The 26,973-nt window shown below is 45.2% G+C and overlaps 1 protein-coding gene across 3 annotated transcripts in view, besides 1 other annotated feature; it reads right to left on the minus strand.

Moving 5' to 3' along the window:
* TTC7B (tetratricopeptide repeat domain 7B) overlaps positions 1 to 26,973 on the minus strand; it is a 291,867-nt gene that overhangs the window by 190,938 nt on the left and 73,956 nt on the right. For all 3 annotated transcript variants that reach the window (NM_001320421.2, NM_001010854.2, NM_001401365.1), the window contains exon 5: positions 14,574 to 14,695. In NM_001320421.2, the coding sequence (NP_001307350.1) occupies positions 14,574 to 14,695 (122 nt within the window). The remainder of the gene's footprint in view (positions 1 to 14,573; positions 14,696 to 26,973) is intronic.
* Positions 5,807 to 7,006: an enhancer, noted in NCBI's record as "MED14-independent group 3 enhancer chr14:91187652-91188851 (GRCh37/hg19 assembly coordinates)". NCBI's record gives its function as "activates an origin of replication core promoter dependent on BRD2, BRD4, P300/CBP and CDK7 cofactors, and independent of MED14, by STARR-seq in HCT116 cells {active_cell/tissue: HCT116}" and the evidence as "EXISTENCE:reporter gene assay evidence [ECO:0000049][PMID:35650434]".

Consider the following 26,973-nt stretch of genomic DNA (forward strand, 5'->3'; position numbering starts at 1 on the left):
ATGTGTAATGATAATGTGTTCAAAGCACATTAAAATTACTCTCTAAATCAGCCTAATAATCCTATGAAGCAGGTCCTATTATTATCCCCAGTTACAGATGAAGAAACTGAAACAGAGAGAAAGTGAAGGGACTTGCCAAGGTCACACTGCTGGTCAACAGGAGACCAAGCATGTGAACCCAGGAGCAGGATCCAGAGTCAGTGCTGCACAACTCTGCCTCTCACGAGCACGTAAAGTGTATCTGGCCTTGTAGATTCAGCACTCAACCATGACCACCACCCCACCCACTTCTCCCAAGACCCCTGTCAGATGGTATGTTTTATCCCTCCTTCAAAGACCAAGTCCAAATGTTAATTCTTCTAAGAAACCTAATGAATTCACCCAAGTAGTTAACTACAATACTTCCGCCTTCCTCCTCTCCTTTCTCCTTCTCCCCCAGTACAGACCTTCATTATACTGCCTTTCACAGGGTGATATAATTATTTGTTGTGTTAAAGAAAAAATTATTCAATGATACTTGTTAAGGCAGAGTAAGGACTTTGTTCAGGTCCGTCACGATAGGCAGAGGGACCACTGCAACTGGGTCTTGCAGTGGGAGGGAAGGAGTGGCTAGACTCCAAGTACAGCCTAAACAGGTGAAGCTTTACAGCCAAGAAGGAGGGTGGGGGTCAGTGGGTGGAAAATCACTAAGAGGAAACATGAGGAGTAGGAAAGATTCTGGCTAAACCGATCTAACAGGATTCTTGCTGAAGACGGGCCAGGGTGATCAGATAGCAACTGGGGGATGGTAGTGGCTGAGGAACCCAATCAGACACTGAGGATGATCAGGTATTAGAGAATGGGGGATTCTGGCTAAAATGACTTCACAGATTCTTTTGCTAAAACTGGATTTTACATGGAAGTGTACAGATGGGCCTAGCAGAAGATTTCGAAGTGTGGCTAAAGTTTGGCCAAGCAAGGAATCTTTGTCCATTGACATCCTTGTCTTTCCCATAGCTCAGAGAATGCTTCTGTTCATCTTATATCCCCAGAGCTTACCCAGCAGGCTCTCAATAAACATTCATGGAATTGAGTAGGCAACAGTTTTTTGTTTGTTTTTGTGTGTGTGTATGTGTGTTTAATTTACTAGCTCAAAATGTACTTGAAAGCAGTATAATTGCATCTTTTAAAAAGATCTGTAATTCAGGTTTTACTAAGCCTGGCTAATGAGTTTTTCTGGGTATTCTTCAGAAAAAATATAGCTTTAGATTCTTCCTGGTATTTTAACTGCTTATTTCCAGGATGCAGGGATCACTGCTTCTGTTGCTAATTTGCCAGGGAGATTCAGAGGAGAACCAGCTACCACAACCATCAGTCAGCCAGAACAGAGAGACAGAAGACGCAAATTATGCCAGGGGGAGGCAGAAGGAGGAAGAGCTAGCAGAAAAAAAGATACAGCGTGTCCACACCAGACCTGGAGAACCATCACCAGAAGGCATTCACAAATAAAAAGTAAAAATTCAAACCCAAAATACAGAGGAAGGTGGAAAAAACAAATGTCAATTAAGAAATAATCCAGCCAGGCGTGGTGACTCACGCCTGTAATCCCAGCACTTTGGGAGGCCGAGGCAGGCAGATCACGAGGTCAGGTGATCGAGACCATCCTGGCTAACATGGTGAAACCCTGTCTCTACTAAAAATACAAAAAATTAGCCGGGCATGGTGGCGGGCGCCTGTAGTTCCAGCTACTCAGGAGGCTGAGGCAGGAGAATGGCGTGAACCCGGGAGGCGGAGCTTGCAGTGAGCTGAGATCGCACCCCTGCACCCCAGCCTGGGCAACAGAGAGGGACTCCATCTCAAAAAAAAAAAAAAAGAAAAGAAATAATCCGTGACTTTTCTAAACCCTGTAATTTAATGCAGGAATTTGCTATGAGAACATACAATCATATTACAGATTTCTTTATTGGTGGGCAGGTCTATGGCAGACATTGCCATACAAATATAAAGGTGGGTACTTTTAGAAAAATTTATATCCCCTCTCATTTTCAATAGAAGGCTCTAGTGTATCCTAAGAAAAGTCATAAATTATCCCAAGATGTCTCAGTCATTTTCTGGGCTTTAGCTCAATCTCTCTGCAATTTTCTCTAACAGTTGACTAAAAATATCACTGCAAAAAAAGAATAGAGAGGAAAAGGATGATTTTTTAAAAACAGGTAGGAAATATCCCTTGAAAAGAGCTAGGTCCCCACCCCCAGCCCACCTTCGTGTAAAATACTAATGCATTTGACACCTAAACCCGGGAAGGGAAAAGGCAGGTAGGTGATTGAGCTTTTGCTCTGGGCCAGAGCCAGAACAGGGGTGCATGCTTCCCCCTCCTCTCCTTCCCATCCACCCTGCTTCCCCAACAGATACATCTGGACCCCCTCTGTGATGCAGATGTCACTAAATTACCAAGACAGCTCCCCACAGTCTGACAGGCTCAGAGAGGGTGAAACTTGGCTTCCTTCTTGACCAGACAGGATATGAATTCCTTCTTCCCCACACTCATGTGTTATTTCAATGGTCTGCCCTTGAGGGGCGGCCTGCAGAGGCCACACTTAAACTCTCTTGTGGGCTTCTCTGTCCAGCTGCACCCCATGAGGTTTCAACTTGAAGAGCTACATATTTGAAGTCTTAAAAAAGTTCAAGTCTGGGAGGCTGTGGGAGCAAATGTTCTCAACAACTAAACCAGGGAAGATGATAGCTCCCTTTCCTGCTGCGGGAACTCTGGAATCCCATCCAGATGTGTGGGTTAGGCACCCTCCTCGGAAGGAGGCCTACAAGACCAAACTTCCACTGGGCTAGGATCTTCCCAGAAAAGACTCTTTCAGAGCCAGCTTGAGGCACTTAATAAAGCCACCGTTATTGTATTTCCCTCCAACCACAAAGACAGGGTAGAAAGCAGAGGTCTCTATGATCTTTCCAGAAAATGTGTTATTTCTTGCTAAGGTCAAGGAAATTGTTTGATGCCTGGCACTCACCATTCTCCTTTAACAGAATGAGATCATATCCAGGAAGACCTAGGTGGTCGTAGTGTATCTCCCGCTTTACCACAAAGAAACAAGAATAGGAGCCGTAAGTTCCATGAAGCCGGTCTGGGCTGTCCTATTCGGCCTTAGATCCCCAGCACCTAGCACAACGTGCACAGGTGTTACATCAACTACTTTTACAGACAATATGCAACTCTCAGATAGACATCTATGAGCCACAGCCGTCTCAGCTGAAAATGAAAAGTACATCCATTTATTCATTCATTCATGGATGCACAACTATACACCAGACACTGGGGCATACAGGTACAGATCTGTTCCCACGCAAAATTGACCAAAATTCCTGCCCAAGTGGAACTTAGGTTCTACTGATGGGAGACAACTGTAAACAAATTAAATAAGACAAAATACAAATGGGGGCAAAGGGTTAAATTCCTTCCCTCTTCTTTTGAGAATTTAACCTCAGGTTGGCCGGGCACAGTGGCTTGCGCCTGTAATCCCAGCACTTTGGGAGGTCCAGGTGGGCAGATCACTTGAGCCCAGGAGTTCGAGACCAGCCTGGGCAATGTGGTGAAACCCCGTCGCTACAAACAAACAAACAAACAAAAAAACAAAAATTAGCTGGGCCTGGTGGCACGCACCTGCAGTCCCAGCTATTTGAGGTTGACATGGGAGGATTGCTTAGCCCTGGGAGGTCAAGGCTGCAGTGGGCCGTGACTGCACCACTGCACTCCAGCTTGGGTGACAAAGCAAGACCCTGCCTCAAAAAAACAAACAAAAACAACAAAAATAACCTGAGGTTAACTTTCCAGTTTTGTTTCCCTAGAAAGCCTAAAAAGATAAAATGTCAATTATGTTACTAGGCAACACTTCCTATGATAAAAATGGCCCCTGATTGATAACTTGCAGCCAGACTGGGAGGAACTGTAAATACCTGATAGGAACACTGTGTCTTTGGGCTTCCCTGAGTGTGCTGATTCTTACAACTGAGCATATCCCTTGGAAGACCCTGAAGACGTGGGGCCTGAGATGTTAAGCCAGGGCAGATGGCAAACCTACCCAATGTGAGTCTCATTCCCTAGCACCTGAGCTGTCACTTGAGGTGAAAAGGAACAAACAGAGCAGCTCCTGGGTGGCTGTAGGGACTGCTGGGAGAACTCATGTGGAAAGAAGCCCCTGACCTTTCCCTGCTGGCAATTTGTGGTTCTGTCCTATATCTATCTAAGTAGATGGGTGTCAAGGGCAGCCTATGAAATTCTTGTGAGTTGGAATCTTTCACTAAACCTAACAAATTCCCTGGCTTATAGTGTATTTGATGCCAGTTAAATGCTAAGGAGTAAAATAAAGCAGAGAATAAAGGATGAGTTGGCTGGACAAGATGCCTTTGAGGATTCTTTTGGGTCTAAACCAAGCTTGTTCAACCTGTGGCCCACATGCGACCCAGGATGACTTTGAATGCTGCCCAACACAAATTCACAAACTTTCTTGAAACATTATGAGATTTATGCACAGACCTTTTTTTTTTTTTTAAGCTCATCAGCTTACATTCATGTTAGTGTATTTTACGTGTGGCCCAAGACAATTCTTCTTCCAATGTGGCCCAGGGAAGCCAAAAGACTGGACGCCCCTGACTAAACAATAAGATCACCACTCCCTTCACCCCACCTCACCTTTGCCAGTTAGCTCCTACTTTCCAATTCATCTTCAGGTTTCTGCTCAGTCACTTCCTCAGGAAAACCCCCCATGACCACCAATTGTAGGTTAATTTCATTTTAAAATGGACTCTCAGAAATGGGTACCTTTCCTCCTCAATGCTGTAACTATCTTAGGCTATAGTTATACATCCAAGAGTATAACGATCTGATTTCTCTCTGACAGCAAAAGCCTGTCTGGCTGCTCACCATTTTATCCCCAGCACCCAAAGAATGCCTGGCTCAGAGTGGAAGCTGATAAACACTGGTAGAACAAGTGAATGCCGTAACACATCATCTGAAACCAACAGCGGAGGGCAGTATCCCTCAGACCACATGGTGTGTTCCTGCAGTGTGTTCATTCACGATACTCCCATCCAGAGCATGAGCAAGAGCTGCTCTGAAAATACTGCCGTCTGATAAGGTCTTATATCAGCAATTCCCAGGGCATGAATCTCCCGTTATGTCAAGAGGTACCAGGAGATGCTACAAAAATTAACTCTGACTTTTAGACACGAAATTATATAACCATCTTTCTAAAAGAAAAGCTGCAGGTGAAAAGCTAAGGTAAGAAAAGAAAATAGTATTATCTTCCCCTTTCCTAAAGGCATAGCCCACTGGTAATTTACTTGTTTTTTCTTCTCCTGCTGGACTAGAAATTCCACAGGGACCATTTGCTGTCTCGACCCTAGTTCCTGACACGTAAATATTTGACAGATGAATAAATATGTGAATGGATAAACAAACAAGCACGGAATCTATTCCTCCACTCCTGCTCCCATTAAAACTGAAAACCACTACCCAAGACAAATGCTAACCAGTTCATCTGTCAAGGAATTCCAGTTTCTTGGTGGTGATTAAAGGAACTGTAGCCTGCCTTCCAAGAGGCAGCATATCACCGGTAAACCATGCAGGGAGGGGCCTTTGGGAGATACAATTAAATGCCAATCACTAACCTCCTCCCCGACTTTGGAAGCTTAGAATGACCCACCCCATTTTTCTGCTGAAACCAAGGAGAGATCAACACAAACGCACCCATCTTGCTGAATGCTGAGGAAGCTTTCTGACGGCATCAGATCTCTAACCCTCACTAAGTGCTAGCACTTGTGAAGTACACTGAAAGTAATTACCTGTCTCCACAATTCATCACTGAAAAGAGGGGTTTCGGAATTTCATAATTAAAATCGTTAGAGATTCTTTTGTTTCCACACTAAGGTTTTGATGGCATTAAGGGATGAGCAAGACCTAGCCCACATTTAAACAGAACAGATAAGATCGGGCTGATGCTTTTTATTCATACATAATTACGTCTAGACTTGCTTTATCTTTATTTTTTTAATTACGTGAGACCAATTAGAAGACGATAGACTAGCTTTTTAAGGTCCTTAATTTTCAAGTGTAATATATTGCTATGCTGCTCCTGACTCCATTTTCAAGAAGGTACTGACAGGGCATGGTCAGTATGGCCCAACTGATGAGAGGACTGAACTGGAAGACAGGAGCAAGAGGACAGGTCCCAGCTCTGCCCTAGTCAGTTGTGTGACCCTGAAGAAAATCATATTACCTTGCTAATCAACTGTTTCCCCAATGATACATAAACTCCATAAAGCCAGCGACTGGGTCTGACTCATTCACTTAGAACAGTATTTGGCACTAGTAAGTAACCTAGTAAGGGTCTCCATCAATGTTTGTTGAATAATTAGTGAACAGGATTTCTCTGAATCTCATGTATCAAGAGAAGTGATGGAAACAAATGCTCTCTAACAGCTGTTGGAGCTTCCGGATTTTCCGAATAGAAACTGCACCATCAGTTCAACTATTACGAAGATCTCCCTTCAAAGTGAAATGACTCATATGAAGAGCGTGGAACAGCGATCTAGGTGAGTCAAGTCTTCCAGACATGTGAGTGCCCAGGCGACATGTGGCATCCCCAAGTTGGCCTTAGCTGGCCAGGCTGCAGGAAGGCGCCCTATATCTCACGCTACTCCATCAACTTCCATTCTGAAGCTGTTAAAGCAGCTCTCACACAGACTCCCTCCTGGCTCTGTCCCTCCCGGCTCTATCCCTCCCTCCATCATCCCCACCTTCCTAGTATGGTTCCTGCTGAGGTTAAAATGTAGCCTGTGGCCAAAAACCAAGTAAAATGAACCTGATCCTACTAAAATGGGGGACGTGGCTCTGGTGGCACTAGATTCCTGGTGGCCAAATGAACTACCCTGTTCTTGACCCTTCCCAAAACCCCACCTTCCAGATCCAATGGCTTCTCCACACCTAGAGAATGAATTCCCTATTCCTTAGCCTGCTGTTTAATCTTCCACCATCATTCTGCCATCGGTCCTTCCAGCATGAACTCCACCTTAGAAAAGAAAATGGAAGGGGAAGAACATTTCTAGGAAGTGGCCTGTATACAGAGCTGCAATTCATCCTGTATCATCTGCTCCTCAACTTCCCCTGTCCAGCTTCTGCTCTTACCACTCCACCAAGTTTGTTCAGGGTCACAGATGTCTTCCATGGTATCTGATCCAGGGGTCACAATTTGGTCTTCTTTATTAACATCTAAGCAGCATTCAGCACAGGTGACCACTTCCTCTTTCCTAGCACAGGTTCCCGTTTTGGCTTTCACAAGGACACACCCTCACGATTTCCCTTCCACCTCTGGCAGTTCCTTCACAGGATCCTCCTCCTTTACTCAACTTCCAACTCTTGCAGGTCTTCAGGCCAAGTCCTGGGCTGTCTTCTCTCTTTACTCTCTGCCCCTTCACTGATCTCATTCAATCCTGTGGCCTTAAATATAATCAATATGCTGAAATTCCCCATTTATAACTCAAGTCAAACCCGTCTTCTGGTCATGTTGACACTTCCACTTAGACATCTCACAGGCATCTTAAACCTAACATGCCAAAGGCAAATTCTTGATTTCTCCTTTTCCAGATCTGATCCTCTCCTTGTCTCCACGCATCTAACCAATGGTTCAAGGCTGAAACTGGGGAGTCATCTCTGGTTCCTCCATTTCCCTTACCCTCTGTCCCCCAAATCCAATCCACCAGCAGTCCTAACTCTAGTAGTTCTAACAGACATCTCAAATGCATCCACTTCTCTTGGTCTCTATACCCTTTGTTATCTCTAAGATACACATCTAATGTCTTCACCACCTAGTATCACCTACCCTTTGTCCTGGTGACTCAGGGACTTTTCTTTGGACAACCATCACTCTCCCACTATATGCTGCACAGTGGACCTTCCTTCTTCTGGGTAAGCCAGACTGAGACAGTTTGTGACCCTCCTCCTTCCAATGCTTCTACTACATTGGACTCCTTTCTGATTCTTGAACACTCCAAGCTCTTTCCCGGGTCAAGACCTCTGCACATTTTGCACCCACTCCTTGGAGCTCTCTTTCCCCTGTGCTTGACCTGGTTAGTTCCTTCTCACCCTGCAAGTCTTGGTCTCATCTCAATGTCACCTCCTCCGGAGACCTGGCCAGGCCACCCTATCTAAGCAGGGGCCTTCTGTTATTTGCTTTCACTGCACCCATTCACTTCCTAGCACCTATTCCAATTTGTAATTATATATGACCAGTACTTACATATTATCTGTCTCCCTCACTAGACTGTCTCCTCCCTGAGAGCCTGGACTATGTCTCTTATATTGGCCAACATATACTAGTACTGAGCACAGTACTTGGTACTTAGCAGAACTCAACAAATACTCGTTGAATAACTGACCAAACCCACTGCATGCCAGGTCCCATGCTGAAAGCTTTATAGGAACATCCCCAGATGTCTACAGAAACCATCACTCCAGCCAGACTGGTCTCATATCCTGTAGAATACACACAATACCGAGTACAGTTCTAACTCCACACTCTACCAACCACTGGAACGTCCCTCTGGTGCTTCCCCATCTGTAGGCATCTACACCATCTCAAGCCCACTTTTCCAAATCTTCACTCCCCTTTCCAAATCACATGGCCCTTCCAGCAGAGCAGTGCTCCTGTTTGCTTCTATGGCAACCTTGACTTCCCCAGTGATAACACATACAACTATCCTGAAATGGCTTATTTTAATTCCTAATTCTCCATGAGACTCAGTTCTCCATGAATTCTAGGAGGGCAGGGACTTTGTCTCTTCTCTTCACCACTCGTCCCCACAACCTAATGTAGGCCCTGTGATATGGTTTGGATGTGTGTCTCTACCCAAATCTCATATTGAAATGTAATCCCCAATGTCGGAAATGGGGCCTGGTAGGGGGTGACTGGACCGTAGGGGTGAATTTCTCATGAATGGTTTAGCACCATCACCCTTGGTACTCCTCATGATAACGAGTGAGTTCTCATGCGAACTGTTCGTTTAAAAGTATGTGGCACCCTGCCTCGCCCTCACTCTCTTGCTCCTGCTCTGGCCATGTGATGGCCCTGCTCCCCCTTTGCCTTCCATCATGATTGCAAATTTCTTGGGGCCTCCCCATAAGCCAAGCAGATGTCAGCATCATGCTTCCTGTAGAGCCTGTGGAACTGTAAGCCAATTAAACCTCTTTTCTTTATAAAATACCCGGTCTCAGGTATTTCTTTATAGCAATGAGAGAACGGGCTAACACAGCCCTGGCACGGATGGTACACAATGAATCCTCATTAACTGAATGAACAAATGACCCTACTCGAATGCATGAATAAATGGGCCTGGAATCTTCAGCTCATTTAAAGTGATCTGGTGTTCTTTCATTGTTTATGCTTTTACAGAACCATGTCATAACCTTTAAAGGTACTAATGTTTATGTCTTCATCTTTTTTCTTTTCTCTACCATCTGCCAGATGACAAGGCCCATTTCCTTTTCATCTCCGTATCTCTTGAAGAGGGTTGCATACAAAAAAGTGGTGGTTATTAAATGCTTACAGGAAACGTGTGTGAATTCTCTTATGTTCACTGCAGTGGACTCCTACTGTCAAAAGTAGTGTGCAGTTTTAAACGTGAACACTTGCTACCACTGCAAGAGGGAAGATGACCTCCAGAAGGCCAGAATGCAAAGGCTAAGTTGCTCAAGCACCAAGAGAGACAACTGCATCCAGCAAAGCATGCTCACGTCCTGGCGGGCGCCCTCACCATGATCACCTCCCCACAATCACATGGGATGTGGGAGCCTGTCTGCTGCTGCTGCTGTTGTATCTGAGACATAAGCCCAGGAAGCACCCTCCTCAGCAGCCCATAGGATACAGAAGGGCCTCTTGGACTCCTTTTCCTGCCTTCTAAGTCTAGGTTACACTGAGCAGGGCTAAACAATTGCAAAGAGATTATATGGGAAGATTGAAAGCTTTTTAAAGTAGATGCATAGTGGTGATGAGTGGTCTATTTGTTTGATTATAAAAACAGAGGTCCAAAAGCCCTTCCATACCACTTTATTCCCTGGCTTGGCTGCAAGTACCTGAGGGGAGCCCAAGGTCTGAACCATCCCTGCCTGACTTCCTGCTTTCTGAGTCAAGGCCTCCCATGCAGCACTCGGTGATGTAACCTAGAAAATGGTACAACCCCATGGGTGCATCTCCCGGCTGACAGTCATTTGCCTTTTGCATCAATTTATCTCCACCCCACCTGAATTAAAATCAATTCAAAGCCAGTGAAAACACACTACAATCCGTTTTGCCTACCCAGGACACCTGACACAGCTAACAAGAAGCAAGGTTACTTTAAATGTGCTTTGCTACCCTTTGTTTACAAAAGATGGGTAAATATTCCTAAAGCAACCTGCAGTAACTAATTGGCATCCCAGCTGGGCACAGTGGCACATGCCTATAATCCCAACACTTTGGGAGGCCAAGGCAGGAGGATCACTTGAGCCCAGGAGTTCGAGGCTGCAGTGAGCTAGGATCGTACCACTGCATTCCAGCCTGGGCCATAGAATAAGACCTTGACTCTACAAAGAGGTAAAAATCCAAAATTGATTGACATGCCCAAATCAAGCTTCTCTGGCAATTCTGGCGGCAATGACTCAAGTAGGGAGTAACATTATCTTCTCAGAAGGCCGAGGGGAACCCGAGGGTGAGGCCGTTTCTCTGCTGCTAGCTGGGCTGTGAAATGAATACCCAGTGCCACCGCGGTCAGACCAGTCAGTCCCACCTATTTTCTCTGAAAGTGATTAGAATGTTATCCAAGCCCATGGTTATGCACCTTGAGCAGCATTGCCTTAAGCCAGCGCCACTGTAAAGAAATGCCCTGCCTCCAAGCCCTGGCAATGTCCGGCTCGGTCATCTACTTCTCCACAAGCTCCCACTGCAACCAGGACGTGACCTGAATCTGGTCCCACTTTCAGCTGGTAAGTCAGCCAGGCGTCGTCACCATTGGAAGTCACAATTTACCTCCTGCTGTTTGCCTGACACCCCACCAGGTGCTTCCATGTGCATATTTTTATTTGCTCCTCACTACTGCTCTCCGAGGTGACTGATATTCACCCTACTACACAGATAAAGAACCTGAGACTCAGAGGAAGAAAGGGCTGGTTCCAAACCCAGCACCTGAGCTGCCCTCACACAAGCGCTTGCTTTGGCGAGGCGACTTGGAGCCCTCAGAGGCGGCAATCCTGGCCCTCTGAGGCTACTGTTCTGCTTTCACCCTCTGCGGAGCCTCAACAAGATGTTTTTTCAGCCTTAACAGGCTTGTTGCTGCCACCCAGAGGGATAAGAGAAATAGATGTGAAATGGATCTGGGTACATTCCAAGTCAGACCGCGCCCAGAGACTCGGGACTGGGAGGTGGAGGAAGTTACCGGCCTGGATGACAACTAGCTGTTCTCTCCTGCCTCATAAGGAAAGAGGGAGCCCAGGAAGGGAGGAACTAGGAAGGAAGGGAAGGAAAAGATGTGAAGGAGAAGAAAAAGAGGGGTGGGAGAGGGAAGAGGACGAGCCAGAAAGGGAGGCCGGGAGAGGAGGGCGAGGAGAAAGAGATGCTTTGTGACGCGCTGTAGATGAGACACGGGGGAAAGCCTTAGGAGAAATCACCCAACCAACAGAGGCTGGGAACTGTCTGTGGGCGATGTCCTGTCCGGGGTCAAGTGCTCCCTCACAGAGGGAGGGTGATGGACAGTCAATCCCTCCCATCGACTCCATCCACACCGAGCCACAGCGCTTCCCACACAGTGGCACAGTGGTGAAAGGACTGGAGCCCAAGGAACTGTGTGACTGCAGCAAGGCACATCCCCTGTGAGTCTAAATTTTTCTAAACAATAGGGGCAATACTGCTCACATTGCCCACTGCACATGGTGGAGCGGCAACGCTGTGAGGACCAGTGACCATGAAGGACAAGTGTTTAAGCCAAACTTAAAAGCAGCCCTTGGATCTAACACATCAGAAGGGGCTTAGGAACTGGTCCTGGCATCAGGTTTTCTGAAAGAGATGCCCAAGTCCACCAGTTCCGCAGTGACTTCTGGAAAAGATGGGAGAGTTCTAGAAGAATCAGATTCAAGACTATAATTCAGTGAGTCCTCAGGAATGACAGCTAAAAAGCTGAGTATACATTTAAGTATATTTCTAAAGAAAAACATTGTGTTTCATCAATTCCATCTCTTATTGCCAAACTCTAGTGTATTTTCCTACTACTGAAAATCAGTCAATCCTGTCCATTATATCCTTTCAGATACACAGAAGAAAACTGCAGAAGAGCAAAAGGAGTGAGACAACTGGGAGCAAGTACCTCACAAGGAAGCGTGGGAAGCTGCTGGTGCTTAGGGACAGCAGTTACCTCCATTCTGTCCCCGCTTGCTGTAGGCATCCAGTGACAAATGAGCCCTGGCTGTGGCCCTCAGGCCCTGCGTAGCCCACTGGTATGGGTCAAGCAGCCCTGACAGCACTTGGCATGTTCAAAACCTCCCAACGGTTTTTCTCCTTGGGGTATATTCTGTGGCCCCCAAACTGGCCCTCACCTCCACCTCCTAAAAGTAATTCCTCACTACTGTTGCACCGTCCCAGCCTTGAGCTAGTTGCACCAGCAGGGACTGCAGCTAACAGGGACCTTTGAGAGTACCTGGCCCAGGGCTGGGAGTGGTGGCTCATGCCGGTAATCCTAACACTTAGGGAGGCCAAGGCAGGCAGATCCCTTGAGCTCAGGAGTTCAAGACCAGCCTGGGCAACATAGCAAGACCTCGTCCCCCCCGCAAAAAAAAAAAAAAAAAAAAAAAAAAAGAATGAGAGTACCTGGCCCAATCCCATCACTGGTCTTTAGAGCCCAGAGAGAAGAGCAAGAGGACAAGAGAAGAGAAAAAGCTTCAAAGTTAAGCAGTCCCTTAAGGCTACATCAACAGGCATTTCCTTGAACTCGAATAAAGTAAAATAAAATGAGAAATGAGTCAGTAAGCAATCCATGGCATGTAATCCATCACCTAGTGCAAACCTCTCATTATTATTTTTTAGTTGGATTCCAGTGGGCAGCCAGTGTCTCAGGGCCCAGTAGTCTTCCTTTCTCCCCAAAGAACAGGCTTCAAAGATGCAAATAAATTACCCAACCCACTCTTATTAATCTCACACAAAACATTTTCAACTGAACGTATGGGTATGGTACCCCTGGGACCTCCAGGGGGATTAATTCCCGGGTCCGGACCTCCATATTAACACATACAGACACAGGTCAGAGAGAAGGAGGGCAAGGGCCGGGAGCTCCTCCGTGATGACCACCATTTATCGTGAAAAGGGAAAAGAAACATCACTAGAAAAATATTCCATGTTCCCTCTCTTCTCCTTCTATTTATAACAACAAAGAAAACAGAACTTCATCTTAGCTTAGGGGACGTGCACCGTTGCTCAAATGATCTCAATCAGTGGCAGATGAGATCGAATGCAAGAGCATCTTTGTGCCAAGGCCATTGAGCTGCTGCAAACCTTGGGGTGTGTGTCACAGCCTTTTGTAGGCCATGTGGACCTCAGCCAGAGGCCTCTGGACCAAAGCAGGCCTTCTCTCACAAGCAGTTTAATAGGACTTGAAAAATAGGCATTTATTTTCAACTAATGGGAAATGGACGCATGCGGCTCTGGGCCACCAGGCAGATGAAATCCCAATTTCAAGAGCCATGCCCCAAGGTTTGAAGCTCTTAAAAATGAAGAGGGAGCAACTCCATTGTTCATTTTTCCAGAGGCTGGGGCTTGGGTCCCCTCTGCCATTCAAAGCACTACTGGACTACTCTAGAGGAGGGGAACGGGCCTCTAGGGGCCTCCCATGCAAAGCCTACGGGGGTGCTACAGAGGAACCAGATACCTACTGTTGGTCTTCATGCACATCTATCCTGCAGCACAATGTCAAAACAAGGGATAACTGAAGAGATTTGGAACAGAATCAGCACATTTCTCACAAGAGCAACACAAAAAGGAAAACAAACATCAAATGCACTCGAGAGCTGTCCCTCCCGTTCATGTCCTTCAACCTTTCTTAAAAGCCTTTTCAAAGCCACACTCACTTTCATAAAAACTGGCTGAGATTTGGCAAATCCAATTCCCTGAATGATCAGCCACTGAAAGGGCGATGCTCCTGTGTGCCAGGATTTCCAATTCATTAACTTTTTCCTTAACAAATGGGGAGGCCGATGCAGAGCCATTCATGGAGGGAGGGCATGGGAAGGCATGGCTCCCATCAGGCCCACCCCACTGGTCTTGAGGCTGTGTACTTTTGACTTGGGTTCCCTCCCTCCCTTCTCCCACCTTCACATCTCATGGGAAAGCAAGAGAGCCAGGTAGAGAAGAGACAAAAACAGCCAATGTTCATTCTTTAAAAGAAAAAAAAAGTTCCAATGGTAGTTCATATTTAAAATTCCTTTATTATAATAACTAAACTGGAGACAGCATTGTAAGGCTTTCTACTTTCCTTCTTTAGGAAGTGGATTTAAAAAAATGAAGATGGCTTACCCATTTTTGAAATAGAGGACATGGGCTCTCTGAAGTCCTGTTTCTAGGAAAAAACCTAGTTCTTGATCGTGGGGAGCAGGGCCAGGCTTAGGGCTTCTGTTTTGAATATTAGAAAGTATTACCTAGAAGGGGAGAAAATTGGAAAACTAATCAGATGCACATCCAAGCCTACTTCCTTCAAACCCTATCTCTAAATGTACTGCTCGACCTAAAAAACCAACTTCCTCAGGCAAATATCAGTGCAGAGGCACAGGTGTAGAAGTGCAAGCATTAGAAAAGCAGAGAGAATGGTTCTACTAGACAGGAAGCAACAAGCAACCCAGGGGCACACAGGGCCCTCCTGGTACCGAAAGCTGAGGAGTCGGGGGTGCTGATGAGCAGGTGGTGCTGTAAGAAGCACTAGAGGCGGAGAGGCCCTGCTGAATGCCAGGATACTGACAGGAAGGCTGGGGACACGGAAGCGGGTCCTAGCAAAGGGCGGAAATAGTTGTGATCCACCAATGGCCGAGGTCACTCACAGGCAGACTGCAGCTGCAGCCCTGCATGAGCTTGATGAGCTCCAAGATGAGCTGATGAGTGCTGTGATCTGCACTAGCCCTGGAATCAACCAGAAAAAGGCAGACTCACCAGGCTCCAGAGCTGAGGGACATTGCAGCTTTGCAACCTGGTGAGGTTGGGCTGCGTGGCAGTCCTCTATTCTCAAAGGGAGAGCTGAGCAAAACACCCTCTCTCCCCAAACTTGACTTCTTAGCTTATCAACAGATAATGGGGTTTTTAAAGGTTTAATTTTTTAGCCCTGCACAAAAGACTGCCAACTAATCAGGAGGAAGACTTGCAAGTTGGGTTGGGTATACTGAAGTGTAAACATGTAGCTGCTACTCTTTTTTCTGAGACAGAGTCTCGCTCTGTCGCCCAGGCTGGAGTGCAGTGGCACAATCTCAGCTCACTGCACGCTCCGCCTCCCGGGTTCACGCCATTCTCCTGCCTCAGCCTCCCAAGTAGCTGGGACTACAGGTGCCCACCACCACACTTAGCTAATTTTTTTTTTTGTATTTTTAGTAGAGACGGGGGTTTCACCACGTTAGCCAGGATGGTCTCGATCTCCTGACCTTGTGATCTGCCTGCCTTGGCCTCCCAAAGTGCTGGGATTACAGGCGTGAGCCCCTGCGCCCGGCCTGCTGCTACTCTCTTTAAACTCACAAGTCAAAGCATTTCTCAGAGGAAAGCCTACTTGTGGCTCACATAAAAACCAATGTTCTCCAAACATGCCGTCCACATTTGCTGAAAGTCAGCAGCTCTTCAAAAGACCCAGTTGTTTGCCAAACCCCAAACATCCTAGAGGTCTTGAAACCTTAGTCTCCAAACAGAGTGGAAGTAATTATTAGTTCCCTAACCCACAAGCTTTGGGGAAAAGAAAGGTAGAAGGTACATGATAAACGAGACATCGAGGAATGAAACCCAGGTGGGCAACCCTTGCATGTGAACCGGATCCCAGCATCTTATAGAAATTGCCCAGCTCCGTCCTGACTTAGCCCTCAGCTCTGCACCCCTGACTCTCCGGGAGTTCCTCCTCTCTGGGAACCTCATTTCCACCCACTACAGGCTCCTCCTCCACTCATCCGTCAAGTGCCAGAGATGCACGCGGCACCATCGGAGCCACACTCCTTTCTCTCTTAGGTCTCTTGAGATGACCGCATCCATCCCTAAGAGCTTCAAAATCATCAGTATGCTGCCAACGCCCAAGTTTATAGCTGTAGTCAAGACTTTCTCTGTGAATTTCCAACTCACATATCCAACTGCTGCACTTGGAGGTCCAACACGGAAACTTTTAAAAATCATCCTTCATTTGCTTTTCAGCATAGTTTTAATTTTGACATGCCATGATTATTTTAAAGTAAAAAATTCAGTACAGCACAAAAAAGAAAATAAAAAAATCACCTCACAATTCCATCACACAAAAATAACCACAGTTAACATTTATTGAACGACAATCCAGATATCTTTGTGGACACATGTATCAAGCAGAGAAAGATAAAAATCATTTTACAAAAAAATGAGATCATGTTATATATGCTAGTTTTAAATTTAAATCATTATATTTAATTTAGTTAAATTTAACAGAAGGAACTAAAGTGTAACCAAAGTTACACTTTAGAAAGTTTGTCCCTCCTAATTATTTCTCAACTATGTCTGTGACTATCCATTTCTACTACCATTACATCATCCGAGCTGCCAGGACTTCCTGTTAGATTTCTACAACAGCCTCCTGAATGGAGTCTCCACGTCCTCTCTTGCTTCCCTATTTCCCTCACTCTCTATAAGCAGCCTGAATAATTTCTGTCACCCAAGCTGGAGGGCAGTGGCATGACCATGGCTCCCTGCAGCCTCAACCTCGCAGGCTCAAACGATCCTCCCACCTCAGCCTCCCAAGTAGCTGGGACTACAGGTGTGTGCCACCATACTCGGCTAATTCTTGTATTTTTTGTAGAGATGAGGTTTCACCATGCTGCCCAGGCTGGTCTTGAACTCCTGAGCTCAAGAAATCCAACTGCCTCGGCCTGCCAAAGTGCTGAGATTACAGGCATGAGCCACTGCGCCTGGCTCCTGAAAAATTTTTCATAATCCAGTCTGGATCATGAGCCACTGCGCCCGGCTCCTGAATAATTTTTCATAATCCAGTCTGGATCATGAGCCACTGCGCCCAGCTCCTGAATAATTTTTCATAATCCAATCTGGATTATGTTGCTCTTAAGCTCCTTTTCCTCTTTCTCATCTCTCAGATATCAGCTTGCTTCTGCTTCTTGCTTCCTCCGAAGGGCCTTTTCTAACAATCGGCATTAAGGAAGTCTGCCCTATTCGCCTGCCCACAGCATCCTTTCCTATTCCTTCATTACATTTGCCATTGTTATTTCTTCACTTGATTTCTGGCTGTCTCTCTCCACTGTGCTACAAATTCCACAAAGTCAGAGGCCACGCCTATTTTACTTACCCAGTGTCTAGTGCAGGATAAGCATTCAATATACATAGTAAATGAATAAACTTTCAAGGCCAATCATAAATGCAGAGAAAAGGCAACAGGAAAGTAACCCACTGTGTCTTAGGCACCATGTGGGTACATCGCTATCTCATGTATTCCTCCACAAAAACCCACCGAGATACACACCATTGTCCTCTCTTTACCAGAGGGGAAGCGGAGACTGCTCCACCAAGTGAGGTGCCCGAATCATGTGGCTTGAGAGCGGTGGAGCTGGTGCAGAAACCCAGATCCCCCTGACTCCACAGCCCGGCTCCTTCTCCTTCATCTGTGTCTGCTTGCAGAGCAAAGTCCAAAACACAAGGGCAGCCAGGAGGTGGCTTAAGGTTATAAATGGGAGAATGGGAAAGACGCAAGAGAAGCCTTGGAGGGACTAGCATAGCTCAGGGCTTACCCTGAAGTCTAAGCATCTTGAACTTAATCCCTTCCTCACAAAGAGCCTCCAACACATGGGCCTGGGCAGAAGCATTGTTTGGCAGTGCTGAAGCCACCACTTGTTCTGTGGATAAACACTTCCAGCGAGGAGACTGCCAACAAGCGTCCTTAACAAGCGCAGCTGGCTCTGGCAGAAGCAAGTACCCAATGACTGAGGAAGCACGGGGAAGGGGCTGAAGATTTTAGTCAAAAGACCGAGGCGCGAGGTCTGGTTCTGACACTGCTCACCCACCATTCGCGGACTTAGGACAACACCTCTGACCTCACAGACCTTCACTGCCCTCATCTATACAATGGGGATAATAATACCTACCTCACAAGGTTGGTTTGAATTGCAAATGAGAAACTTCACTTCATGAGCAAATACCATACATTATTATACAAATATTATAATCCTTAATGGAGTTATATTAACTGCATGAACAAATATTATACATTATTGTACAAATAGTATAATCCTTAATGGAGCTATATTAAAGAGTTACCTTTAAGTAGAAACAAAATAAAAATCTTTATTTCTTAACATCGTTTTATAAATTATGGCAATAAGGCATGAGACATATAAGATGGAAAATATTCGAAAGGAGGAAACAGGCCAGGCGTGGTGGCTCATGCTTGTAATCACAGCATTATGGGAGGCTGAGGTGGGTGGATTCCTCGAGCTCAGGAGTTCAAGACCAGCCTGGCCAACATGGCAAAACCCCGTCTCTACTAAAAATACAAAAACTTAGCCAGGTGTGGTGGCACGTGCCTGTAGACCCAGCTACTCAGTAGGCTGAGGCATGAGAATTGCTTGAACCTGGGAGGCGGAGAATGCAGTGAGCCAAGATTGCGCCACTGCACACCAGCCTGAGTGACAGAGTGAGACTCTGTCTCCCAAAAAAAAAAAAAAAGAAAGGAGGAAACAACGACAAAAATCATTCCACCTCATAGATCTATAGGCTGCAATGAGCTATGATCACTATCATGCTTTGAAAAGCATCAACTCTGTTTCTATAGAAGACTTCAGTATTATGGACAATAAACACCATCCTTGCCATCCTCGACACTGCTATCCTTGTCAGCCTTCAAGATGCTGCTCAGGCATCATCTCTTCCAGGAGACATCCCTGAACTCCCACACTGGCCCAAGGCCTTTTCTGGAGCTCTCAGAGTTCTCTGAGAATTCCCACCACAGCACTCCTCCTGGCTAAGGACCTGTGTCCTCATGAGCTTCTTTTTAAATTTTTATTTATTTTATTATTTATTTATTTATTTATTTTGGAGACGGAGTTTCTGTCGCCCAGGCTAGAGTACAGTGGCACGATCTCGGCTCACTGCAACCTCTGCCTCCCAGGTTCAAGTGATTCTCCTGCCTCAGCCTCCTGAGTAGCTGGGATTACAGGCATGCGCCACCACGCCCAGCTAATTTTTAAATTTTTAGTATAGACAAGATTTCACCATGTTGGCCAGGCTAGTCTTGAACTCCTGACCTCAGGTGATCCACCTGCCTCGGCCTCCCAAAGTGCTAGGATTACAGGTGTGAACCACTTAAGGGCAGGCTCTGTGACATACCCATTCTAGTGCCCCTGCAGTCAAACAGTATCCAGAACATGGAAGGCACTCAATACATGATTGTGCAAGTGAATTAAAACATCACAGGCACATTTATATGTTAAAATATAATTTCAAAAATGATCTAGGCCAGGCACGGTGGCTCACGCCTGTAATCCCAACACTTTGAGAGGCCAAGAAAGGTGGAATGCTTGAGACCAGGAGTTTGAGACCAGTCTGGGCAACATGGTGAGACCCTGGTCTCTACGAAAATGTTAAAAATTAGCCAGGTGTGGTGGTGTGTACCTGTAGTCCAAACTACTGGGGATGCTGAGGCGGAAGGATTGCTTAAGTCCAAGAGCTTGAGGTTGCAGTGAGCTATGATCACACCACTGCACTCCAGCCTGGGTGACAGAGTGAGACCTTGTCTCAAAAAAAAAAAAAAGATCCTATTCATAAAGCAATAAAAATAGAAAAGATCTGAGAATAAAACCACCTACTGGCCAGGTGCAGTGGCTCACGCCTGTAATCTCAGCACTTTGGAAGGCCAAGGTGGGTGGATCGCTTGAGGTCAGGAGTTCGAGACCAGCCTGGGCAACACAGCGAAACCTCATCACTTTTTTTAAATATTTTTTTTTTTTAAAAAACCTACTAAAGTCTATAGAACAAAAAAATCTTGACAAAATAGGAAGAGGGTCATAGATGACAGGAGACTAAATATAATTCTCCAAATTAATGTATGGAATTAAAAATTCAACCAAATCCCAAAAGGATTTTTCTTGAACTCAACAAAATTATTCTAAAATTTACCTGAAAGTATTAGAATGAGATAAGAACAAAGGATAACCTGAAAAATAAAAGTAATGAGTAGTTACTAATCATTTAAATGTTAAAACCTATCATAAAGAAGTGCCTATTAAACAGTGTCATGTTGGTACAACACAATTAAAAAGCCAGAATTTTATTGAATGACTAAAAATATATGACAGAAAATATGAAAAGGAAAGATCATCTTAAAGTAGCACTGAAATTTGGAAATTTGGGAAATTTTAATTGAGAAAAATTAATTTAGAGCTATATATATATATATATACCACAATGAACCCCAACTACATTTGGAAATTAAAAGTTTTTTGTATGTTTGTTTTTGTTTGTTTTTAAAGGTTTCTCTGTACATAGTGAAAAAATTTTTGTTTTCTGTTTTTTTAAAAAAAGGGGAGGAGGTCGGGTGCAGTGCCTGTAATCACAGCACTTTGGGAGGCCAAGGCAGGTGAATCACGTGGTCAGGAGTTCGAGAACAGCCTGGCCAACATGGTGAAACTCCGTCTCTACTAAAAATACAAAAAAATAACTGGGCGTAGTGGTGGGCACCTGTAATCCCAGCTACTTAGGAGGCTAAGGCAGGAGAATCACTTGAACCCAGGAGGCGGAGGTAGCCGTGAGCCAAGATCACTCCACTGCACTCCAGCCCTGGCAACAGAGTGAGACTCCGTCTCAGAAAAAAAAGGGGGGGTGGGTAGGAAATGAGGCCAGGCTTGGTGGCTTATGCATGTAATCACAGTACTTTGGGAGACTAAGGCAGGAGGATTGCTTGAAGCCAGGAGTTCAAGACCAGCCTGGGCAACAAAGTGAGAACCTGTCTACAAAAAATTTAAAAATAGGCCGGGCATAGTGGCATGCGGCTGTAGTCCCAGCTAACTGGGAGGCTGGGGCAGGAGGGACAGGAGGATCTCTTGAGCCCAGGAGTTTGAGGGTGCAACGAGCTATGATCACCCCACTACACTCCAGCCTGAGCAACAGAGCAAGACCATGTCTCTTAAAAAAAAAAAAAAAAAAAAAAGTATATATACGTATATACACACATACATATATATGGAAAATGGTTGAAAGTTATCAAATCCTAGGGAAGTTTATTCCAACATTCAAGCTTTAAAAACAGTAAAATAAAATATAATTAAAAAGATAATCAGATTCAACTATATACAGATTCAAAATTTATGAGCAACTTAAACATGGAAAATTACTGGTTAGGAAAATATTCAGAGCAAATATGATAAAGAGTTAACATACTTATGACATAGTTTATTCAAACTGTAAGAAAACAACACTTCCAAAAATTAGACAAAAAGGATAAGCAGACAAAAAAGGGTTAAACATAAAGTTACCACATGACCCAGAAATTCCACTGGTAAATATACTCAAGAAAACTGAAAACATATGTCTACACAGGAACCTGCATACAAATATTTATAGCAGCATCATTCACAATAGCCAAAAAGTAAAAGCAACCCAAATGCATATCAATTGGTGAATGGATAAATACCATGTAGCACATATCCACACAATGGCACAATTATTTAACAATGTAAAGAAACAAAGTACTGATATATGCTACTACATGAATGAATTTTCAGAACGTGATGCTATGCCAAAGAAGCCAGCCATAAAAGATCATATATTGTATGATTCTGTTTTTTTTTTTTTTTTTTTTTTTTTGAGATGGAGTCTCGCTCTGTCACCCAGGCTGGAGTGCAGTGGCACAATCTCAGCTCACTGCAACCTCCACCTGCCAGTTCAAGCAATTTTCCTGCCTCAGCCTCAGCCTCCCAAGTAGCTGGGACTGCAGGTGCACACCACCACGCCCGACCAATTTTTGTATTTTTAGTAGAGACGGGGTTTCACCATATTGGCCAGGCTGGTCTTGAACTCCTGACTTTGTGATCCACCCACCTCGGCCTCCCAAAGTGCTAGGATTATAGGCGTGAGCCACTGCACCCAATGTATGATTCTATTTCTATGAAATGTCCAGAATATGCAAATCTACAGAGACAGACAGCAGATTAATAGTTTCCTAGGGCTGGGGAGGCTGGCCATAAAATGGGGATTGACTGCTGAGTGCAAGGTTTCTTTCTGAGGTGATGAAAATCTAGAATTAAATATTGGTGATGGTTACTGAACTCTGGAAATATGTTAAAAACCACTGTACAATTTAAATGGGTGAATTGTATGGTAACAGTAATGCTATTTTTGAGAAAAGAAAATAGAAATATAACTAGTATATACTACTAGTAATAACTAGTATTAAAAAAATTTCAACCTCACTGGTAATCCAAAAAATGTGAACTAAACTTGCAAGGTACCATTTTCATCTAGCAATTTCGGCAAAATAACTTTTAAACAATAGCAGCCCTGTCAAGGTTGCAAAGAAACCACTACTCTCCCATACAGCCATAGGTAGAGAAAGTTAGTAGAGGCCGGGCACGGTGGCTCATGCCTATAATCCCAGCATTTTCGGAGGCCAAGCTCTCGAATCACCTGAGGTCAGGAGTTCAAGACCAGCCTAGCCAACATGATGAAACCCTGTCTCTACTAAAAATACAAAAATTAGCCAGGTGTGGTAGCAGGCACCTGTAATCCCAGCTACTCGAGGCTTAGGCAGGAGAATCACTTGAACCCGGGAGGCGGAGGTTGCAGTGTGCCAAGACTGCGCCATTGCACTCAAGTCTGGGAGACAAGAGCAAAACTCTGGCTCAAAAAAAAAAAAGAGGTTAGTATAACTTGTAGAAAGCAACTGGACACAATACAGAGTAACAAGAATAGTAAAAATATCCTCACTTCTGAGAATTTGTCCTTAGGAAATAATGTGAAGCAAGAGAAAAAGTAACCCAAAGGAAGTTGGCGTGGAAGCATTATTTACAACAGCTTATACACAACAATACGTTCATCGTATCGCAGAGGCCACACACGTGATACCAGCCTGGGCAACACAGAGAGACCTTGTTTCTACAAAAATAAAAAAATTAGTTGGGCATGGTGGTGCGTGCCTGTGGTCCCAGCTACTTGGGAGGCTGAGGTAAGAGGATCGCTTCGGCCTGCGAGGTTAAAGCTGCAGTGAGCCAAGATTGCACCACTGCACTCCAGCCTGGGCGACAGAGCAAAACCCTGCCTCAAAACACAACAAAAAAACACAGACAGGAAATATACAAAAATTAAAATAAGCACTTGCTCTTGCCTGGTATCCAGACTCTCCCAACTCAGTTTTCACTGCGTTGTAACCTCCTACTCCAGGCTCCCAGATAAAGGGCTCAAAGTCAGAAGTGCCTAGAGCAGAAGCACCTGCCTAGCCAGTCAGTTTCTGGACATCTCTTAAGGAAATATTACATCAAGCTATGAACTGTCCCCTTCTGGCTTTGGCCTGAGTGAAAAGGTAGGCCTGAAACGGGAAGGAAAGGAGGAATTGGCCTTTTCTTTATTGTCTCACATTTTAAAGTCAGAAGCACAATCACCTGGCCCTCTGGAGCCACAGCCCCACCTTTCTCAGCAGCAGCACTGAGTGCTTTTCCTAGGACACCTGGTTCCAGTTCAAGACCGGCAGTAACCTGCATCTAATCCAGTTTGGAATCCAACACCTCAGCGACATCACTGCAAATCCCTCCTGCCGGGAGAACATAATCCACTCAAGGCATGGCCAGGCTGCCAGTGAACAGCCCCTTCATGAACACGGGAAGTCTAGGTGGGGCACTGTAATATTTGGGGACCTGGTGTTTCTTCTAGAAACTTTAGCACTAAAACAGCCAATAAAATGTCATGGGTACCCCATAACTTAGCATTAACTTCTTTTCTAAAATAGGGTGTAGAGAAATGAACTGTCAGCAGAAGGTCAAGTTCCACCCTGGCTCTACTCCTGCTCAAGAGAGCCATAACCAGCTGGTTGGCTGATGCATGCAAAGGACAGAGACAGGATTATTTCATCTGCCAACAGCAGGGCTCATATTATGGTATCCAAGGGTGAAGTCATCTTTATTCCCATCACTGCACCACTAGAAGCTCCTTGCAGGGCGGATAACTTTATTTACTGTTGGCACAATGCCGTCATCTGAAGATAAACTAATCAAGGCCATCCTATGCCATTTCTATCTGCTCTAATGTAATTTATTTGGTTAAATTATTTTATATGCTCAATTTTAGGGGTAGTTTATCTGTTATTCCCCTTCGGAAAACAAACTATCAGAGACTATTCGTAGGTGTCCCTGTGACTCTGATATAACAAGGACAACATTAAACAAATATTTGATGCACATAGCTTTCATTTATTCCCATTTTCTTGGCCCCGCCTCTGGGTCTGGAACTAGAGGGCAGAGGAACACCTGGAAAGCTCCTAGGTACTGCCTGGCACATGCTGCTGCTCTCAGCAAGGGCCACTTCTCTAGCCCCAGAAAACCAGGCAAGTCAGGCAGAATGAGCACCGCCCCGGAAGCACACAGAAACAAACCAAGGTCAAACGACCAGGAGTGAACAGAGAAGTCCAGACACGGGGACACCAGGCAAAACGTTGTTCCACTGGCTTCAGCACAAGAAAGGGAAAAGCAAATTCTCCCGAAAAAGTTACTGCATAAACATTCCCCTGAAATTCTTTGACTTTTTTTTTTTTTTTTTTTTTTTTTGAGATGGAGTCTCACTCTGTTCCCCAGGCTAGAGTGCAGTGGTGCGATCTCGGCTCACTGCAACGTCCACCTCCCAGGTTCATGCGATTCTCCTGCCTCAGTCTCCCGAGTAGCTGGTATTACAGGCTCCTGCCACCATGCCTGGCTAATTTTTGTATTTTCAGTGGAGACGGGGTTTCACCTTGTTGGCCAGGCTGGTCTCGAACTCCTGACATCAGGTGATCCGCCCACCTCATCCTCCCAAAATGCTGGGATTACAGGTGTGAGCCACCACACCCGGCCTCTTTAACATTTTTAATGAAACAGTATGTTTATAATATTCCAGATTTTAACCTAAATATCTGAAATTGTCCGAGGTTAGGAAAGATTCCACAGCCAGGTGACACAGGAACAGATAAGGGCAAGAGAGCTGACATTTACTGCATGCTGACAATGTGCTGGGAGGCACATGAGTTAACCCACCTCACCTCACAGCAGCCTCATGGCAACTAGGACTGCGGTTTTACAGACGAGGATCCTGAGATACAGAGAGGCTGAGCAACTGCCCAAAGTCCCACAGCTAAAGGGGGCAAGGCCAGGGTCCCAACACTGGCAGTCACTCACCCGCAGTGCTCTGCAGCCTCCCACAGCTTCTGTCAGCTCCCTCGAGGGGAAGCCAGGTCAGTCCTCGTTCTGAAGTGTCACTGCCCTTCAGGAACCCAACAACTCAGAACATCCCAGAACATCACTGAACATCCCCACTACTAGAGAAACTCAGAGAACGGCACTCCCTCAGAAGCACAATTATGAAAAGTCACTGGTCACGACACTCCTAACTGTCTCCAAAAACCCTCCCCAAATTTTACTCTTGCTAGTGAATAAAGTTAAACGCCAGGACTAATAAATAAAAGGCCCACAGGCCCCAGCGAGCAGAAGTTTCTTCACTACAGAATGGCGGGGAAGTGACAGGGCACCATGGAGAGGCCACCTCTGCCCAGCGGAGCAAACAGGAACAGCGTGTGTGATTTCCTACCTGGCAGGGCTGATCCCAAAATAAAGCCCTATTTGCCTTGGATTGCTCAAGGCTTTGATCAGATTCCATCCCCTTTTCTGTTTTCAATTCAACATAATTCTTACTGAGTTCAAAATTAAGTCAATTAAGTTCAACATTTAAAAAAAGAAAAAGGCCAATCAAGTATCTCTTGCATAACACACAACTATCTTGCCACATAAAAACCTGCAAACTTTCCACCAAGCCCATTGGTCACCTAAGGAAGGTTATTCTCCTCGCTAGCCTTCTGCTTAATCAACAGTTAGTTTCTTGAGTACTTACTACAGTCAAAACAGATGTTGGGTTCATTCAATCTCTCTCATTGCTAATATCTCAGCTTGCTGAAATCTGGGGAGGTCCAAACTGGTTTTCCAAAAAAGAAAACGCCAGAGCCAGAAATTTGAAAATCAGAGCCAGAAATTTGAAAATCGTGTACCTACGCTGAGATTTAACCTTAGGCTAAAGAAGCTGCTTCCCAAATGCTACCAAAAGCTAAAGCTTACTTGGTCAAATAAAACATATTTATTGACTTTTTTTTTTAAGTGCAGTGGTACAATCATAGCTCACTGCAACCTCGAACTTCTGGGCTCAAGCAATCCTCCCACCTAAGCCTCCCAAGTAGCTGGGACTACAGGCACTTGCCACCATGCCTAGCTAGTTTCGTTTCATTTCGTTTCGTTCGCTTCTTTCTTTCTTCCTTTCTTTCTTTTTTTTCTTTTGTTTCTCTCTCTCTCCTTCCCTCCCTTCCTCCCTCCCTCCTTTCTCTTTCTCTTTCTCTCTCTCTCTCTTTCTCTCTTCCTTTCTTTCTTCATTTGTAGAGACAAGGTCTCACTCTGTTGACCAGGCTGATCTTAAACTTCTGGCCTCAGGTGATCCTCCTGTCTCGGCCTCTCAAAGTGCTGGGATTACAGGCATGAGCCATCAC

The sequence above is a fragment of the Homo sapiens genome, chromosome 14, assembly GCF_000001405.40.
Source record: "Homo sapiens chromosome 14, GRCh38.p14 Primary Assembly".
Taxonomy (NCBI): Eukaryota; Metazoa; Chordata; class Mammalia; order Primates; family Hominidae; genus Homo; species Homo sapiens.